The sequence below is a fragment of the Homo sapiens genome, chromosome 6 (genome assembly GCF_000001405.40).
Source record: "Homo sapiens chromosome 6, GRCh38.p14 Primary Assembly".
Lineage (NCBI taxonomy): Eukaryota > Metazoa > Chordata > Mammalia > Primates > Hominidae > Homo > Homo sapiens.
The window spans coordinates 76,040,512-76,060,815 of record NC_000006.12 but is presented as its reverse complement, the minus strand read 5'-3'; the positions used below and the strand labels follow the sequence as shown (position 1 = coordinate 76,060,815).

The following is a 20,304-nucleotide window of genomic DNA, read 5'->3' as shown; positions in this document are numbered from 1 at the left end:
GTAAGTGAGGTCTCCATCCACACCGCCCCTTCTTGCTTAAGGGTAGAAAAGACCTCTGCAGTCGTGGGGAAGGAACTTGTGGTACCAAGCCTTAGAAAAACACAAAGCAATTTGCTGAAAGAAAAGAACCCTGACCAAAATGTGAGTTTTAATCTTCCACAGTGGACAGTTTTCAGCAACCACTGGACCTAAGTTCTCTGTCTAAGAAGATCATTTCATCCAAGGCTAGGATTTCAGCCTCACAAAACAAGAGCACCAAGGCAGATGAAACCTGTAATAAAGGAGGAGGGTGCACTCTGCTTTGAGTCCAACGCAACTTCCAAGCTTATCTCACAATGAGTTGATGAGGTTGATTGGCACAGCCCTGGTAATGAGAATTCATATATGGAAATGCTGCTGTCAAGCTCTGAACTAGCAGCAGAATGTGCCGCTGTAATTATTTACGGAGAATATTCTCCCTCTATTGCTCCTCTCTTCCAGCCATAGGGAATGTAAGAAGAATATGAAAGAGCTAAGGAACAGCAATGCTGCCTCGAAGCATATGGTTGTATTCAGTCAATAAATATTTTCCCATTTACATTCACTCATTCTTGAGGAAACAATGTCTTTCTGTGTGCCTTTGTAAAGTCATCTTAATTCATTCCGACTTCATTTTCTTCATTCAGCCATCTTAATTCTCTTCACCATAGCCAGCATCTATTTTCATAATTGCCCCCAGGAAAAGAGTTAAGGAAAACTAAACCAAAAGAAATTTTGTGGAGAAAAGTCAGAACCTCAAAATTAGTGAAAAGTTTCTGCTTCAGAAATATTTTAACTACATGAAGAAAATAACACATGTAGAACTAATTTGTCTGTCTTAAGCTTCCTGCTGCATTTATAAACAAGTAAATGATACATTTAATTAAGTTGAACTATGAAATACTATGACACTATTATTAACCCATTGTACCCAGATCAGTTTAGACCTGATCAAAACACTTTGCGGACAGTAATTATGTTAACAATCATTTAGATTAACATATCTTTTTAAATAAAAGTTCAAACTAATTTGCGTTCATTTATGGTTGGAAACCTAAGGCAGAGAGTGCCAAGTAATATTTCTGAAATCATTTGAGGTGAGAGGGTTAGAACCAAAGTTGGGATGTGACCTGTATCCAGTTGTATCTTACATCTACTTAATCTATTAATAATAATCAGTCCACTATAATATGATGAGAGGACTTAGTGTGGTTTTTACTATTAACTCAAAAGCCAACTTTCCTCTGCTAACACTACCAGATGACTGCTGGTTCTGGGCCATTTCTAACATCTGTTTTCATAACTGATCTCAGAATAGCTGGTCAGATCCTTCAGCTCTGTGCTAGAAATGGAGGAACCTATCTTAGGGTTTCTATTTTTCACTTAAAAAAAAAAGGTGTAACGTCTTGAACTCAAAGAACTGGAGTTGTTTATTGATAGTGTCATTTTAAATGCCCATGACCAAACTCTAAGTTTAGTAGTAAGTAGCTTATTTAGCAGTGTGTTATGTATCTAAAGGCAGGACATTGCTTAATGGGTGTAACTTGACACAATGGGAAAATCTCTTCAAAACCACCCCCCTCAAAAATATCACTCCCTCCACCCCACTATCAAAACACTGAAATTTCACCTCCAGATTTGCAGTCTTTTCAGCCTCTGGAGATATAAGATTCTGAAACACCCCCTTTTCAATAATTTCCCTGCCTTCTTTCTATTGGATCTGATCCTGTTATCAAAACATCAGTCCCTCAGCCTCTGCCATTTTGTCCGATTCTTCAGGCTATTCCAGGCCTCAATAGGCTCACATAAATCCTAAGTCCTATATAGTTTGCCACTGAACCACTCTCAACAGTCTTCTTGATGGTACAATAGAAATCTTGCTCTTTGACCTCTGTCCCATTGGCTTTGTTAATCTCACTCTAGGAAAACTTAGCTTTTGCTTTTTCTACTCTCATTCCTGAGCCTACAAGTTTTATTAGAGAAACTCAAACGGAGTGTTGCCACAAAACAAGTTCCTGCACTATAAAGTTAGCTAGGCCCTACAAGCTATTCCATAGTCATATTTATATCTGATTCCCTAAACTAGTCCCCTAGCCAGATTTCCAAAACTTCCCTCTACCGTTGAGCCTGCAGCATGATTTCCCTTCATTCACAGAAGCAGTGATAACAATGTAGTTAAGAGCAGAAGCTGTAAGGCTTGCACAGAACTTCATTCTGCACAGAACAGCTCTGCCACTTACTAATTTTGTTACGTTGGCAAATTGTTCAATCTCAAATATTACTCCCTTTTATGGTTTTCTTGCCTATAAAATAAAAATAATAATAGCCAAGTCTGCCTTGAAGAGCTAAAGTTTTTAACGAGGTATCTGCTACAAAGATGCTCAATAAGTGCTAACTCCTAAGATGGCTATAGCAACTACCACTGTTACTATTATCACCTCCTTCTACTTACTGAGAAAATAGAAGTCATTTGACTTCATTTGAAGTATCTTCTCTCTACTTCAAAGTTTCTCTGAGTTTATCCAAACACTCACTCTCTTTGTTTCAGAGAGAGTAAAATGAATTCATGTCTTTGCTAATGTTATTTCTATCTACCTATGACTTTAACTCCATTTACAATCAATTTCCATGAGACCTTCCCAAAATGAAAAGGCAGCCTATGGATTGGGAGAAAATATTTGCAAACCATGTATCTTGTAAAGGGTTAATGTCCAAAATATGCTAGGGACTCACAAAATTCACTGGCAAAGAAACCAAACCAAATCAAACAATGAAAAAAACCACAACCCTATTTTATTTTATTATTTTATTTTATTTTATTTTATTTTTACTGAAGCACACCTTTATTTAGAAAAAGATAGAAACAATCTAAATGATTATTAAAGTTTATAACATGCAGCTATTTAAAGTAAAAGTTTTCAAAGACTAGTAGTGACTTGGAAAGATGACACAATGTTATATTAAAAATTTTACAAACAATATGATCTCAATTTTGAAACATATAGGTACATAAATGTCCTTAATTTAGCCCAGCTCATTATAATGTCATTAACATAACATTAGCATTGTGGTTTTAGCCACCCCCCCACCTATGGGTTTCACTTAAGCACTCATGAGTAATAACCCAGATGGAGTCCTTCTGGTCAACCCCAGGCATGTGCAAATGCAATACCCTTAAGAGGGAATTTTACCCCTCCCATTTGGACAAAACCCACAGAAGACTCCTTTGTCTTTCTTTTAAATTTGTTATGAAATAGCATATTAGGCTGTCTAGCCGGGGTGCTTATACTCTGTCTTTGGTATGCAATTTAAGCCCCACTTTGAGGAAGCACTACATGACTACTATATAATCACACCTCACAAGCAGATTTGAATCTCTTCCCCACTGCACATCCCAACCTCTGGTGCACAAGCACCCCGGTCCCCACTGCTACATGCCTCATCACATTGCATATGGGTTGTGCAGGTCTGGTACTTGGATTCTTTTTCCAACTTTTATTTTAAGTTCAGAGGCACATGTGCAGGATATTCAGGTTTGTTGTATAGGTAAACATGTGGCATGGTGGTTTGCTGCATAGATCATCCCATCACCTAGGTAGTAAGCCCAGCATTCATTAGCTATTTTTCTTGATGCTCTCCCTCCTCCCACCTTCCAACAGCCCCCCATGTGTGTTGTTCCCCGACATGTATCCATGTGTTCTCATCATTTAGCACCCACTTATAAATGAGAACATGTGGTATTTGGTTTTCTGTTGCTGAATTAGTTTGCTGAGGATAATGGATTCTAGCTCTATCCATGTCCCTGCAAAGGACATGATTTTGTTCCTTTTTATGGCTGCATAATATTCCATGGTGTATATGTACCACATTTTCTTTATCCAGTCTATATCATTGATAGGCATTTACATTGATTCTATGTCTTTGTTATAACACAACCCAATTTTTAAATGGGCAAAGGACCCAAGTAGTTAATTTTCCAAATAAGACATAAAAATGGCCAACAGCTATGAAAAGGTGCTCTAATCATCACGGGAATGTGAATCAAAACCACAATGAGCTATTACCTCACACTTGTTAGGATGGCAATTATCAAAGACAACAGATAAGTGTTGGCAAGGTTGTGGAGAAAAGGGAACCTTTGAACATTGTTGGTGGAAATATAAATTACTACGGCTATTTTGGAAAACAGTATGGAAGTTCTTCAAAAAATTAAAAATAGAATTACCATACTATCCAGTAATTCCTTTGCTGGGTGCATGCCCAAAAAATGAAATAAGCACCCCATAGATATCTGTGCTTCCATGCTGATTACAGCATTATTCACAAGAGCCAAGACATGGGAACAACTCAAATATCCATCGACTATTTTCACATTTCCATCATTAAGTATAATGCTTATTTTAGCTTTTTTTGCTTGTTTGTTTTCTTCTTGTAAAGAAGTAACAACTTCTTTTTCAAGTAAAGAAATTTTCAAGTAAAGAAAATTTCTAATTCTAATTTGTTGAGTTTTTAATCATGAATAAACATAGAAATTTATTGTTTCTTCTATGTGTATTGAGATTGCCAAATAGTTTTTCTCCTTTGATTCATTAATGTGATAAATTGCCTTAATCAATATTCAAATATTAAGCCAACCCTACATTCCTGAGATAAATCAAACTGGGTCATACATTGCATATACATTGCTGGATTCTATATGCTACTATTTTTTTTTCTAATTGTTACACTCATATTCATAAGCAAGCTCGGACCATAAATTTTTTCTCATACTCGTTTTGTCAAGTTTTATAAGAGTCGTAGGAAAATGGAATTACATTTTGCTTGAATGTTTGATAGTACCCACTGTTAAAGCCAGATAAAGATATTCATAGAAAGATATTTGACTACTCAATTTTTTAAGGTTATGATAATATTTAATTATCCTACCTCTTTTTGAGTTATAGTAAGTTACACGTTTCTACAAATTTATGCATTTCATATCAAACTTCAAATTTATGGATAAAACATTATTCATTATATCGTCTTGTTAACTTTTTTATGTTTATAGAACATTTTGTAGAAAGTCTGTAGAAAGCATAATGTTCTTCTTTCTCAATTCTGATATTAGTTAATTTTGTCTTCTTTATTGGATCAATCTCATCTGTTTGTTTACCTGTTTTTGTTATCAGTATTTTCCAAAAAAGTTTGACTTTTATATTTCTTTTTTTCATTTATATTTATGATCTCTTTCACATTTTATTACTCTCTGTTATCTTTGTTTTTTCTAATTTTCTTTGGTTTTATTTTGTTTTCTTACACCACTCTTTTAAGATGGATGCATAGGTCATTAATACTTAGCTTTTCCTTTTTCTAAAATAAACATTTTGATGATATCATTTTACCATTAGGAACTGCTTTAATTTCATTCCACAAGTTTTATTACATAGTAATTTTATCATTTCAGAAAAATACTCTCTAATAACGATAATTATTTCTTCTTTGACATATGGGTTATTTTGAATAATTTTTTTCAAATACATAAAGATTTTCCATTTGTTTTTCACACTAATTTCTAGCTTACTTCTCTATTAGTCTGAGAACATGATGCATATGTTATCAGTCCTTTTCAATGTATTCAGATTTGAATTTTAGTACAGTATATATCCAATGTTTGTTTATTTTCCCTCTGCTTGAAAAGAAGGCATATTTTATAGCTTGTAGATATGATGCCTCATACATGTCCATTAGGTCAGGCTTGAGCATGTTTTTCAAATCTTCCCTACCCTTACTGAATTTATTTGTTCATTCCATCAATTAAGAGAGATATCTTAAAATGTACCTACTATTATCCTGGATTTTATTTTCTGTATTGTCTATCAACCTTTGTATTATATATTTATATATTATTAAGTGCATAGAATTTTAACTTTCTATGACTTTTAAACTGTTATCATTGTGACCTGTCTGTCTTTGCCTTTGTAATGTCTTCTGCCTAATAATGAACTTTGTCCACTGGTTTGCTGGAACTGGCTTGTACTAACAAGAGCCAATTGGCCACATCTTTTCCAAACTCAGTGTTCAGTTATGTCACATTGGTGGCTTGAAATCAGTCATGAAAGAGTATTAACACACAGAAAGCAGCAGATGAGACAAATCTCACCCATCTCCCAGAGCTGGTTATTAATATTTACCAGCAACGCTCTGACTTCATTTGATTTTAATATATCAGCTTTCTTTTGATTAGTGTTCTTCTATTATAACTTTTTTCCATTCTTCTCATTTTAACCTCTGTGTCTTTTGATTTAAATATGCCTCTTAAAACAGCAAATCATGGGAACCTTTTTAAATGTAGTCTGACAATCACTGTCTTTTAACAGGTGCGTTTCGTCCATATGCATCTACTATGTCCCAAATATTCCATGGGACATACTTTTACTGAAAATTTATCTGAAATTTAAATTTGACTTGGTCCTATATTTTTATTTGCTAAATCAGGCAATCCAATTCCTACCAGGCCTAGCACTAAACCTCAGAATGGAGTGGCACTAGATCATAATAACAGGTAACAATGTGCCAGGCTCTCTGCAAAACAGTAACATCTATTTTCTCATTTAATTTTCAAAATACAACTACATAATAAGCAAGCACTAATCAAAAACTATAGTGTTGGAAATATTATTATCTACTTTTCAAGTTACAAACCAGAGCAAATAGAAATTAATTATTTGCCCAAATTGAGGAAGTGGCAGAGTGCTCTTCCTATGCTTCAGTCTCCAAGTACCCAAAATGAAGTTTACCTTACTTTTCTGCAGGAACTGATAGGTCCTTATCCATCCAAAAGTTAACAGGCAAAGATATACAGCTGTTTCTGTTTGATCTGCTCCAATTCTGCTCTGCTTGAGTAGTTAGAATATCATTCTTTTTTTGTAATATATGCAACAATCTATATATATGCAATTGTCTTTACTGAGAATTCCCAACATACTCCAAGATTAAGTTTACATGATAGCAATAAAACCAAAGAGTAGTGTGTGGTTTGTAAAATTATAATCATGGACAGCACAAACTTCCAGAAAACAGAGATGCTGGGCTAAATTAGAGCCGACTCTGATATAAGTACTTCAGATATGATAGGAATCGGATGATACAAATTTTGTCCCCAAATATGTAGCACTCTTAGCAATCACAGGAAGAAAGATACCTTGTGTTTCAGCACCTCAGTACAGCTGGAACCAGAAGTAAAGTGGATATTTGGCACAAATCATTATGTCTCATAAGTAAATCCACATTCCTTTCCCCTAATATTTCCTCAGTACACCTCAGCTTCTGAAGTTAGCTTCCTCCTGAATTTTTTGGAATTTGTTTTATAAGCTCTTAGTGGGTCTCTGAATTCTTGTTACTTGTTGTCCCCATCCACCTCCAAGTCAGCTTCAAATATCATGGGCTGAATCTTCCTCCGGCTCATGCATTACCTGGCACTTTCTGGCATAACCCCTTGGTTTCCAAACTTTGTGTCAACCTAGGCTATAACAGTGCTCTGGAAAGCATAGTGTTGCTCACATTTGTGAGGTACAATCACAATCTCAGATTTACTTGTACAATTCCATGCAGATTCTCTTATGGTAACCTGTGTACTTATTTAAACTCCACATTCTGAAACTTATGGAGATGGTTTCCAAAAAGTACACATAATTAAGAATTGGGAGGCAGAGCAGTAAAAAAGGTTAGTGGAACTTCAGTTAATGTAAAGATGAGATGATTAGGAGTGGCTTAATCAGCCTGAACCTATACATGTGAGGAGATGGCAGCAGGATGATGGAGGGGTATGGAAAAGTCCAGCTGCAGGAGAAAGGACTGGTTTATTTGTGTCAGCCCCTGAAAACTAGGCAGCCATGTATGAAATCTTCACCAAGCTGGTTGACAATCTTAGTGTAACTGTTCTTACCTCAGTTTCACATTCTGTTTACTCCAACTTCACCTCAGCATTAATCCAACTCTATTCACCATTTTTTTCAAAGTGATAATGCATTTTACAACTAATCACAGCTTATAAAAATATCCTACTCTCATATTTTCTAAGATTGACTCATCTGTAGAGAAAGGATTTGTTGATTTTGTTTATGTATTCAGGTGGTCCTCAACATTTTAAATGTTTGCTAAAATTGCCAAAGTAAATTTAGTACTCCATGAAGAAGCAATGTGTTGATCCTATGGTTTCTCACAACCCCTGGCACAGTACTGCATACCTTGAGGGCGCCTGTACCACTATTTGAGAGGCAAAGGCATTCCCCCATTACTAGAAGTATAGTTCTCAACTTGCAGGAACAGCACCTCTGCAGGTGGCAGCTAAATGTTAATGTACGTCATTCGAGAGGCTGCATTATCAAGTGATTTCATGCCTTAAATGGAGGCAGTGTGTACTATCTTTTCTTGCAATGTGTTTCTCTCCTTTCCCAGGACACAGAAACTAGTCAGCTTTGAGAAAGAACACTCCTCCTCTTCTCAATATGCCCTGCCCTCTCACCCTACTAAGACGGATGATGAGTTTGCACACATTTCTGTTCTGGGTACAGTTGAAAACATGGCCCTGCTAGACTCCTACCTCTTCACTCCCTGACATTTACCAGACTTAAACAGCTGGCAATTCCACCTGTTCAGAGGGTCATCCCCTCTGGGCACGAAAGAGGCAACTTCCTTTTCCACCTCTCCCTTCAACTTCAGTTCTGTTCCTACCCACTCACTACACTGCATAGGCCCTCAGCAAGAAGTGCCTATGTTTGTAACTCAGCATGCCACCAATAGATTTAGTTCTTCCTTTTCTTTCTTTTTTTTTTTCTTGTGTGTGTGCAATGAGGTAGGGCTCAGTACATATGTACACGTATGGAATAGAAGGTAGGCACTAGCAACCTCTTATTTCTTGTAAGGGTTTGCCAAGGTCCTAACCATTTCCTTCTGACATAGCAAGTCTGATGGTTAAACCTGATTTTTGCAAGAAGAGAAAAAATAATGCAACCACTCTAATTATTTGAGATAAGAGACTGCTGATTTTTATCCTCAGCAGGGATTACTGCTGCTGAACAAATGCCAGTTTGGGAGGTAAAAAAGACAGTGATGGCATCCAATTTTCAAAAGCTACAGAGAGGGAAATGGTATAACATCCACCCCATGCATTATTGATAATCAGCATGCATGCTGATTGTGAAAGTCTGTTTACTTTCTAATTCATTAAAAGAAATAACTACAAGTTTCCTTACTTTCTATGATCTTCTTTTGCATCATTTATTCCAACAACTTTTGCCTCTAAGGCCACAGATTGGGGCTGGCATTGTATAAGTTTGTTGAGAACTACCTGTAGGAGGGCAAGTGGGACAGCAAGTTGTAGAAGCTTCTCTGTTCTCCATTTTATTGCCTAGAAAACAGTATGCTTAAAATCCATGCAGTCTTCTGGGATAGACTGAACAAGGTATTCAGAAAACCTGCATAATTTGTTGATACATATTCAGGTATGTTAAGCACGATTTGTATTTAATTGCTTTTGCTCTTTGGGAAAAATTTCTCAGGTGTGTAATTGAGAATCTACTAATGTAGTGGGAGGACCAGGGCATAATGAATCTCAAACAAGAGAAACATTTGCAGAAACACCATAGTCCCTCACTTTTTTTAGTAAGGTTAGAAAAATTTGGGAAAGATTAAATTGTGTTTTTTTTTTAACTTCCAGTCATTGAATTGGTGCTGAAATGTTACCTACTTACTCTCTATAGAGTTCTGTTCCTCAAATTATGATTTTTGTTCTGTAGAAATTACAGTGAATTTTGTCTCTGGTCGTGCTAATTTATTCATTAAGACATTGAGACCTTTTCCCCTAGGAAGACATAATGGGTTTGCTAAGTGCTTATACCAATGGCTGTTGCTTTCATAGCAATGCTACCATGAAAGCCTGATTCTCTTATCCCTGATGTCTACTATTGCCACTGTATGTGTACAGTAAGCCTCTGTATGCCTACAAGGTTAAATAGCTAAAAAAAATTTCCTCTAGAAGAGTTTGGTGAGGAATGGTCCAAACAGGTTGGTAAGTATCCACTTGAATATGTAGCCAAGAAAGAGAATGACTTGTGGGCAAAGCTGAGCCTGAAATAGAAACTTTGTAAGCAGCCTATGTCTAGAAGCCAACTTTGGTACTGGAAGGAAAAAAATAATAAGCTCTTCAGTGATATGACAAGGAGATGATGTGGCCTATGTCTTCAGGGATGCCAGTCAACATTGTGGTCACATGGCCATCAGCCTTCAACCTAGAGTGAAAATGGTACTTTGACCAAAGGGCTGGCTTTCACAGTAGCTAATAAACATGCTTAGGTGATCCAAACCTAATTTTTTTTTTGAAGGAGTCTCACTCTGTCACCCAGGCTGGAGTGCAGTGTCACGATCTCTGCTCACTGCAACCTCCGCCTCCCAGGTTCAAGCGATTCTCATGCCTCAGCCTCCCAAGTAGCTGGGATTACAGGGGTGCGCCACTGTGTCTGGCTAATTTTTTTTATATTTTTAGTAGAGATGGGTTTTCACCATGTTGGCCAGGCTAGTCTCGAACTCCCGGCCTTAAGTGATCCACCCACCTCAGCCTCCCAAAGTGCTGGGATTTCAGGCGTGAGCCACTGTGCCCGGCCCAAACCTAATTTTTAAACTATAAACGAAGAGTCAAAAGCCCAGTATTTCAGAACTGCCACTCACATCCTTGGGCAGATTTGACTGTTTTTTAGGATAAAGTAATGTTTGAAAGTGTTTAAATTCAGTGGTTGTTCCTTTAATTTCCCTGTCTATATATTCGGAAATTTCCAAAATTATCATAGTTACACTGGGTTGCAGAATCTAGGTCAGCTCCAGGATAGAGTGGCTAAATTTTAAAAGGAAAATAAATAAATAAATAACACCAACCTCCCCAACTTAAGCCTTCGGTGCCAACCATTTTCCTTAGTCTGCTAGAAGTTTCCCTGCCCACCAATATCTTGTCCTCCTTTATGCCCCCCTAAATACTTTCTACCTGCCAGGTCTTTCATAAGACCCTCCCAGCTCAAGGGAGCCCATCCTACTGTGCTAGATCTCTGCCTTTTCCCAAATTGTCTGTTTTGTTACAAAACCACCACCCTCACCACCACCCCTATCAACAAATGTCAATATCCAAATTCACAGAAGCGATCAGTGGAGTTTTAGTTTACTGTCACTTTCTGTATATTGTGTGTTAGATAGTCACACCTTCTGGTGAAGTGTCATATCCACACATTGAATACACCAGGCTCTATAAGCACATCACAAATACTAAAATATAAAGAGAATGAAAGAGAGAGAGACAGAGAGAGAGAGAATAAAGGTAGGGGGCAGGTATTGGTATCTATGCATGTGGTATCAGAGGAAATCTTCACTCACTAGGACCTTGCTTTTGTCTTGGAAAAGGAGGGAAAGACAAATCTTTTTTTATTTTAACTTTTAGGTCCAGGGGTAAATTTGCAGGTTCATTATATAGGAAAACAGTGTCATGGAGGTTTGTTGTATAGATTATTTCATCACCCAGCTATTAAGTCTAGTATCCTATAGTTATTTTTTCTGATCCTCTCCCTCCAACCACCCTCCACTCTCTGATAGGCCCCAGCATGTGTTGTTCCCCTCTGTGTATCCATGTGTTCTCATCATATAGTTTCCACTTATAACACGTAGTATTTGGTTTTCTGTTCCTGCATTGCTTTGCTAAGGATAATGGCCTCCAGCTTCACCCATGTCCCTGCAAAGGACATGAATTCATTCCTTTTTATGGCTGTATAGTAGTCCATGGTATATAAGTACCACATTTTCTTTATCCAGTCTATCACTGATGGGCATTTAGGTTGATTCCATGTCTTTGCTATTGTGAACAATACTACAGTGAACATACGCATGCATGTGCCTTTATAACAGAATGCTTTATATTCCTTTGGGTATATGCAGTAATGGGACTGCTGGGTCAAATGGTCAAATGGTATTTCTGTCCTTAGGTCTTTGAGGAATTGCCACACCAAAAAGCCAGATCTTTTTAAATAGTTTTGCGTCAGTGTAAACAGAAAAATGAGCTAGTATCTGGAGGAAACATGCTATAGAGAGAGGATTTTTTTAATAGAGGTAAAATAATAGCGTGTTTGTGTGCTTCTAGAAATAATCCAATAGCAAAAGGGAAAATGATGTAGGAAAGTGAGAGAAGAGTTTCTGGAAGAATGTTCTTGAAAGGTGAAAAAGGATGGGACCTGCTGCCTAAGTGGAGAGTTGGTCTTAAGTAGGAGCACAGACCAATCATCAAATAGTCACAGGAGGCAAAGCATAGACTATGATCACAGACGCAGCCAGTGATCAGTGAGCAGATGCTGTGCTGGATGCTTGGGAAGTTCTCTTCTGGCTCCTCTTGTTTTCAGTAAAATGTGAAGCAAACTCATCAGCTAAGAGAAAGAATCAGCAAGAAGGTACCAGAAATCTGAGAAAAGTGTGTAGCTCCCCAGGACAGTACAAAACTGAGTCAGACTAGAGAAATATAGTGTGATTTTACTTAAGGACCAGAAATTTAAAGTGTGTTCTAATGCTTGTTTTTCTCCAGCCATGATCAGCTATACAAAGATTCAGGTAAGGGGTAGGCAGTGGGTTGAATTTAACCATGATTATGGCTTTGCCTGTCAAGTACAATAATTGAGGGGCAAGGGAGTTGCCATCCTCAAGAGCCAGGTAATAATGATAGTCTTCCTCATTGATCTCCACATATTTAATTGGTCCCATTGATTATTTACTTATGGAAAGATTGAAAGTGTCTGGGAATGCAGATTGTACTAAAATATACTTTATATATAAACCATCTCTTTTCTGGTCTTTTGGTGTTTATTTAGAAAAGAATTTTTATTTGCCTTTTCACTTAGGATATTATCTTTAATAAGATGACTGTGTCCTAAGCCTCTGATATTAGATACTTAAAAAGAGGACAGAAATTTCAAAGAGGAGTTGCAATAATGGATGCGGGCAAGACATGAAGCATTTTTTCATAGTCTAATGGTTTTTAAAACAAATCTAATTCATATATATATTCTAAAAATCCCATTAATATTTCCACACACATTTTTCATTAATTCACTTAATTAATATGTATTGCATCTCTGTCATGTACAAAACATTGTACTAGGCAAGCACCAAGGTGAACTGGAGAGGGGAGGGCAAGATTACAATACAGATCCCAAAGGTATTTGCAGTCTAAAGGGAGAAACTCATATATTTACAACAAATTAGTATTCAAGACAGGACAAAGGAAGCACTACAACACAAGTTTCATGGCATTTGTTTATCTCATTTACAGCTATGTCCCATAGTGGACCTGAAACAGTAGTCGCTTAGTGAATACAGGTGAATCAGTGAATGCCATAGAGATATGAACCACCCTGGAGGAACAGGAGGGAGCAATGAATGAATTCTGAATGTGGGATCTGAGAAAGCATAGTGGAGAATGTAACATTTCACTGGCTCTTAAAAGAAAAGTAGGAAAACAACAGAGAAGGAAGAGAAGGGCCCTCCCATATGAAAGACAAACACAAGATGAGCACTGCAGTGTGGAAGCAGGAAGACTTCAGGGCATAGACATAGTTCTGTCTGAGGACTGAGGAATAGCACAGTGAAAGGGTATGTTAGAAAAGAAGAGTGGTAGGGCAGAGTGGGAATAAGAGCTAAGCTATGCTGGTAACAAAAACACTCTATCTAACCCATGACATATTAAGAAAACTTGTGAGGTGCATTTTTCCCACAAACCAGTTCTAAATATGTCTAATTTTACACTGTGTGATTTCATGCTATTGCTGATATTTTATTTTATAATTTTTGTAGGTACAGGTTTTCACTGATTTATAAAATGTTATTCTACTGACTAATGAAAATTTTGAATAAAGCTTTAGAGATCTTACTAAAAGAAAAGGGGGGTAAGGAAAGGAAGAGTGATACCAGCAAGTGAAATGTCTCGATTATCTGATAAAGGAGTTCTTATTGAGCGTTTACACTGTGTCTTACACTGTTTTAGCTGCTGCCCATGTTATAACTCATTTAATATCACAGAAACCCTGTAAGGGAGGTATTATTATTCCCCATTTTATAGGTGAAGAAACTCAGGATGTACTTGGATGTCAAGTACACCCACATTATACAACTAGTGACAGCTCCAGGCCCTGTGTACCATTGGTTCTATGAAAACATTTTGAATAGTTGAGTGACATTATATGATTTGTGCTGCTACTACCTTTTTCTTTCATAAGTAATGAACATATTTAAGTTAAATTCAGAAAGTAAGCACCATGTGTATTACAGCTGTTCCTCATCTGTACTTAGAAGTTCTGAATATTCAAATGTATTACTTTCCATTTCTATCTTTTCTTTATTCAATGATATGACTATTTCCAAAACCTATTGGCTTAAAGGTTGTTTTCCTAGTGTTTAATCTATAATTTAAAATAGTACAATTATATTTTTTTCTTAATTCATAATTTATTTAATTAAACTGTTCTAATATTATTTTACTCCAATACGCTTTTTAGAACTACCTAAAGTAGGGAAAATATAAGGAAGTGTTTCTGGAAGTAGCTGTAGCTTGGTGTTTGCTATACCAGAGGGCAGAAATAGGACTGATATATGGAAGTTATCAGAAAGTAATTTTCAACTTAAAGTAAAGGTGGTTATTTTTTTTTTTCTGAAATCACTTTGCCCTTCTCTTTGTAACTTTGAATTTTATTCAGAAACAGTTGTTGATGGCAGCCAATTCATCATCAAGTAGGTTACACTCATTTTGTCATCATCTTAGAGATTTCCTGCCTCAAAAAAATTTCCAGTCTTTTATTAAATATACTCTATTTTGTAGCAAGTCTTCCAACTATCAATTCATTCTCATTAAATTTTCACCTCCTCTTTTCAAATACTTATATAAACCAAAAATATCAAACTCATAAAAGTGACCCAAAGAATCTTTAAAAGTTCAGTTCAGTAACAACATTACAATTTATGCAGGACTGGAGAACAGCATCTGATCTGGTCTAATTGCCTTACTCAAGGGTGCTTTCATTAGCTCCAACAACTATCAGCTCTTTTTATTTCACTGAAATCTGTAACAAACAGACTTTGTCACTGTGGCCTGTCATCCTTGGACTCAAGTGATCCTAAGTTCCTGATCTCTCACCTCATCTCTAGTGAGGATGGGGCAGAGGCATAGACAAAAGATTCTAATCCCAGCTCAAGCTGTAGCATCATCACAGGGGGGTTCTCTGTGGTTGGTTTTGTGTCACAGAAACAGAGTAGTCAAGGTATCTAATATTTGTGTTATACCAAAAAAAAAAAAAAAAAAAGATGGAGGTTGTTTGTTCAGCCAAGAGAACCTAAAGTAGGAAAAATATGAGGAAGTGTTTATGGAAGTAGTTGTAGCTTGGTGTTCGCTGCACCAGACGACAGAAATAGGACTGATGTGAAAGTTATCAGAAAGTAATTTTCAACCCAAAGGAAGGAATTTGTTAAGTGGAGATACTCAAAAGTGGAACATGGTACATCCTAGAGGAAAGAAACAACCATTTGTAGAACATTTGTCTTGGGTCTTCTCCAGCAGGAGATATTTAAAACTGGGTGACCTTATAATTTATTTCCCAAACAGGGACACATTTGAGAATGAAAGAATAACAGCTATAAACTGGGGTATCCCAGGCAAATGGGTTCACATTACCCTAATTCACCCTTGTAGACCCCCAGCTGTGTGTACTTGCTGACATGTGGAGAATAGGGAAATACTGACCCTAGTAGGGGAAAGGGAAAAGTGGGAGCTCATGGACGTGCTGAGAAACAGGGCAAATCTGTGACCTTCTCGCCCCTGCTTCTGCACCTACCCCGATAGGATAAAACGTAAAGACCCATATCAAATAGGATCCCTGTCAGTGAACCTGGATATTAACAAACTGTTAGGATCCAAAGGGATCCACCTGGGAAAAATTCCAGGACAGCATCATTGTTCCCAGAGCCAGGGTAGAGTAGATACTCTTCCCAAGTCAAGTTACCTACCCTGATAGGATGAAACCTAAAGACTCATATCAAATAGGATCTCTGTCAGCGAGCCTGGATATGCGCAAAGTGTTAGGATCCAAAAGGATCCACCTGGAAAAAAATTCCAGGACAGCAACATTGTTCCCAGAGCCAGGGTAGAGTAGATACTCTTCCCAAGCCAAGTTACTCATAGAGTTCTACAGGGCATAACATTAGGCAGTAAGAACAGGACCAGCCCCAAAGGAACAAAGACTGTGGTGATGACAAGGTACGGAACAGGACCAGGCCGATAGCAGGACCCCACACATTACAGGCAGGCACAGTGAGAAGAATGGAGAAGGGCAGGCATGTAGGGGCACAGTCTCCCTAAATATGGTCTGTGTTACACTGCCTAGACCTAGAAGTACCCAATGAGGCAGCTTTTTCTTCCATTCTAAATGGCAATTCAAATATAACAAAAACTTACTTTTTACTATGACAAGTTTATTGCAATCTATAAACTGCTTGAAAGGATTATTAAAATTAATATTCCTAAACAAAAATTCACATTTTACTAACTGTAATGGGTACTAACAGCTGTGTGCTCGGCTCCTATCCCTCTCTTGCACTTTGCCCCTAGATTGAATGGGCACCTTTCACTTTGCCATGCAGCCATTTTGACTCACGAAAAACTGGTTCCAACTCCATGGTTAGAATGAGCCACTTCAAGTAATCCCAGTTCCCTGCCTTGTAATTATTCAGATCAAGCCGATAGCACTGGCATATGCCTTGCAACTGGTCTTGCTCCAGGCACATGGCTTAAGTCAGCCAAACCTAAGGGAAAGGCTATTTTTCAACATGAATGAGAGTCAAGGTGGTGATCCAGTTGCTGCTGGCCATCATCAGGGGAATTTGATGGAAGCCTGCCCGAGGATGACATCACCACATGAAGGGACAGAACCAGACAAGTCAGAGCCAGACCTCCATTTCCACCAGGCATTCCCTGCCTCTGGCTTTCCTTTGGAGGTGACAACTTTCTTACTGTGTAAGCCAGTTTGAGATGCACCCATCTTGATTCTTTATCTGGAAGCATGTTAGTAGATCTATAAAATAGTGATTCCCAAACCTGCCTGCATGTTGAAATTACCCAAGGATTTTCAAAATTTGCTGATGCCCGTATTCTACACAGAGATTATGATTTATGGGTCTAGTGTGTCGCTGGGTGAGCCAATTAATCTATAAATTTCCTCCCTTCCTGGAGATTCTTTCCTAAGAATGTACCTCTGCCCAAGAGGAACACAGGGCACTCTGAGACTTCTCAAAGTGACAGGAATATGTGTTCCCAGGCGGACTTTCTCCACCCTCTACAATATTGAGGGACTTTTATGCTTTACAGCAAGATTTAAATTGCTCTTCAGCTATCCTGCTTGGATTCCCCTTTTATCACATTTCAGAAGATATGGGTTTGAGAGCCTTCCCTAGTAAAATGGGATTATAAATCTCTATAAGCCCCATGTTTGGAGTCTCAAGAGGCCATAGTAAGAGGTCCCAACTGTTCATCGGTAATTTTTTTTTTAATGGTAGAATGGATAAAAGGAAAGAGATGGAGTAGAAGAGGAAGAATTGAGATCTGACTACACTGTTAACACTCTCTGCCACTCTCTCTTTCCTTCTCTCTCTCTTTCTCCCAAGCCCAACATCAAAAACTAGGTCTTTCTTTCACATTTATATGTAACTTAGATCTTACTACACTGTTAACACACACTGCCACTCTGAGCCTCAGTACCCTAAATGCTGATGAACTGAGAAAAATGATATGTTTCATCGATGTAGTAAAGCTTTTGTGAGGATATGAGGTAATACATATAAAAATTCAAAATTAAAAAGTGTTTGATGAATCTAAGTTATTATGAGAGGTCCAGAAAGTTAAAAATGCAGTCTAGACCTAACCCTAATAGATACCAGCCATGCCAGCAGGATGAAATGGCTTAGAAGAGAGTTACATTCTCTGCCAGCCTCCCCCTTGTTGGGAAGGGTGAAGCCTCCCCCTTTATCCTTCCTCTCACCATCCTTCATGAAACGGCAAAGCTTGTACTATAAATGCAACTATAAGATACATCCTTGCTCCAATCCACTCTCAGCCAGATTGCCATGCTCTGAGCCCTGCCCATATAGAATTCCTAGGGCTACCACTAATAGGCAGGAAGGTTATTTTGTTGCATTGTTCCGCTAGGTTTTTAGAAGCACTCCACTTCCTCAACAGTACACCTCTGGGCACCACAATGCTATATCGTTCCCTGCTTGAATTATATTATCTATCATAAGAGACATCTCTTGAGAGGCTTGAGTGCTAAGTGGGGAGTGATTTTTAGAAAGATGTGTGGGAAATGGTTTCAATATTTGGCAGTTCCTAAAGGCAAGATGATTTGAGACATTGGCTTTTTAAAAATACGCTTGATCGGCTCATTATACTATTCTCTTATTTCTGAAAATGCCTTGTCATTTGGAATATTACGTTTAGCAGTTGCACCACGGTAGAAATTTCATAAACTAAAGGATTATAATTTTCAGTTTATTTCAGTCATTTATCCATATATGTCACATATAACACATAAATGTATATATTCACCAGGATATCAATCTTTCTTTTACAGATATCTCCATTAACATATACCATTCTGAAACTAAAGACATAGACAATCCCCCAAGAAATGAAACAACTGAAAGTACTGAAAAAATGTACAAAATGTCAACTATGAGACGAATATTCGATTTGGCAAAGCATCGAACAAAAAGATCCGCATTTTTCCCAACGGGGGTTAAAGTCTGTCCACAGGAATCCATGAAACAGATTTTAGACAGTCTTCAAGCTTATTATAGATTGAGAGGTAAGGAAAGAGATGAAACCGTTTAGCCTTGTGTTATTTCCATCCCTTCCCTTTCATTCATCCATAGGTTGTCTTTAGCCTAAAACTTCCAGTTCTGTCATTTAGCCACAAGAATTATAAAAATCAACCTAGTGATAATCTGATAGTAATGAATAATAAACATTCAAAACTATGGTAGATATCAGCTCTTATGGTTTAAAATAATATCTTGTGCAGCATAGAACCAATAGGGCATTTAGAAATCACCAGAAAACCTTGGCATCCAGATTTTACCCCTTTATTTTTTATTTTTGCCAATGCTCAATATTCCATTTTAATGTTGTTCATATGGGTAAGAAGTACAGGATGATTGCAATGTCAGGAATCTAAGCAAATTGATTCATGACTTAAGATTTCATTTTTCAAAAGCAACATTACAATCCAGATCCTCTTATAAGTTTGTGTATTGATGATCCAGCAGAAACTTTTAAAGTTTGGAAACCTAGAGGCACATTGAAGTGCAGAGGAGAAACAAATAAAGAGTGGTTACCAAGATATAATGCAAGAGTGTTAGCAGAATTTACAACACAATTACAGTGGTTTCCAGCAGAGTCACAGTCCACTTTTTACCCCAAGACTGCTTCACAGGATTCTGATGGCATTGCCAGAAACCATTAAGGAGTTAATCACAGCACAGCCATCAGTGACTATCTTTTCACTAACTTCCTATGGATGACAAAATTCTCATGGCTTCTTTTTTAAAAGAAAAAAAAACAAATCTTTGGTAGCTACTATTAAAATTCCCCAGGTGGCTCCAAATAATGCAAAATATCTTGTCTCTCTGAGTCTTAAATTCAATTTATCTTACATGCGAAAGTTGAGAGTTTTACTGATTTCTATCTTGATCACACTAGATGTTTGCTTCCATTGCAAAAAGCAGAGCCACCCTGCTTTATTTAAAGCCCATCTACTGGAGCAAGCTTGTTCAATTCCAGCCTGTGATGTGTTGTACACTATGACAACTGAGTACCCATTTCACAATACCAACATCCAGAAAACTTCTTGGATGTCTATTTTTGTTAGATGTGCCCAAGTTAAATTAATCTGAAGAGTTATTATTGGGTTTTGGAAGCATAATTAACTAACAGTTTCAAAAATATCAAGTCTTATATTCCTTATGTGTCTCATTTTCTGTGGAAGTAAAAAGATATTCACTTTCTGAAAGAAGCCACACCCATAGAAAAGTGAAAACTACTGGATCACAGTCTGAAAGAGGACTCTCACTGTAGAAAATCAAGGGCACTATATTACTATTCTAAGGTCCTAGAAGGGCATCTCCACAGAGCAGGTACTAGCCAATGCTTGTTGGTGGACACAGAATGCAAAGAGCCCATTGGGAAAA

The 20,304-nt window shown here is 37.4% G+C and overlaps 1 protein-coding gene across 2 annotated transcripts in view; it reads left to right on the top strand.

Moving 5' to 3' along the window:
* Positions 1-20,304, top strand: part of IMPG1 (interphotoreceptor matrix proteoglycan 1) — a 151,549-nt gene that overhangs the window by 11,847 nt on the left and 119,398 nt on the right. The window contains exon 2 of one of the 2 annotated variants that reach the window (NM_001563.4): positions 18,690-18,923. The exons of the other annotated variant lie outside the window; for it this stretch is intronic. Within the exon in view, the coding sequence (NP_001554.2) occupies positions 18,690-18,923 (234 nt within the window). The remainder of the gene's footprint in view (positions 1-18,689; positions 18,924-20,304) is intronic. 2 annotated transcript variants of the gene reach the window in all.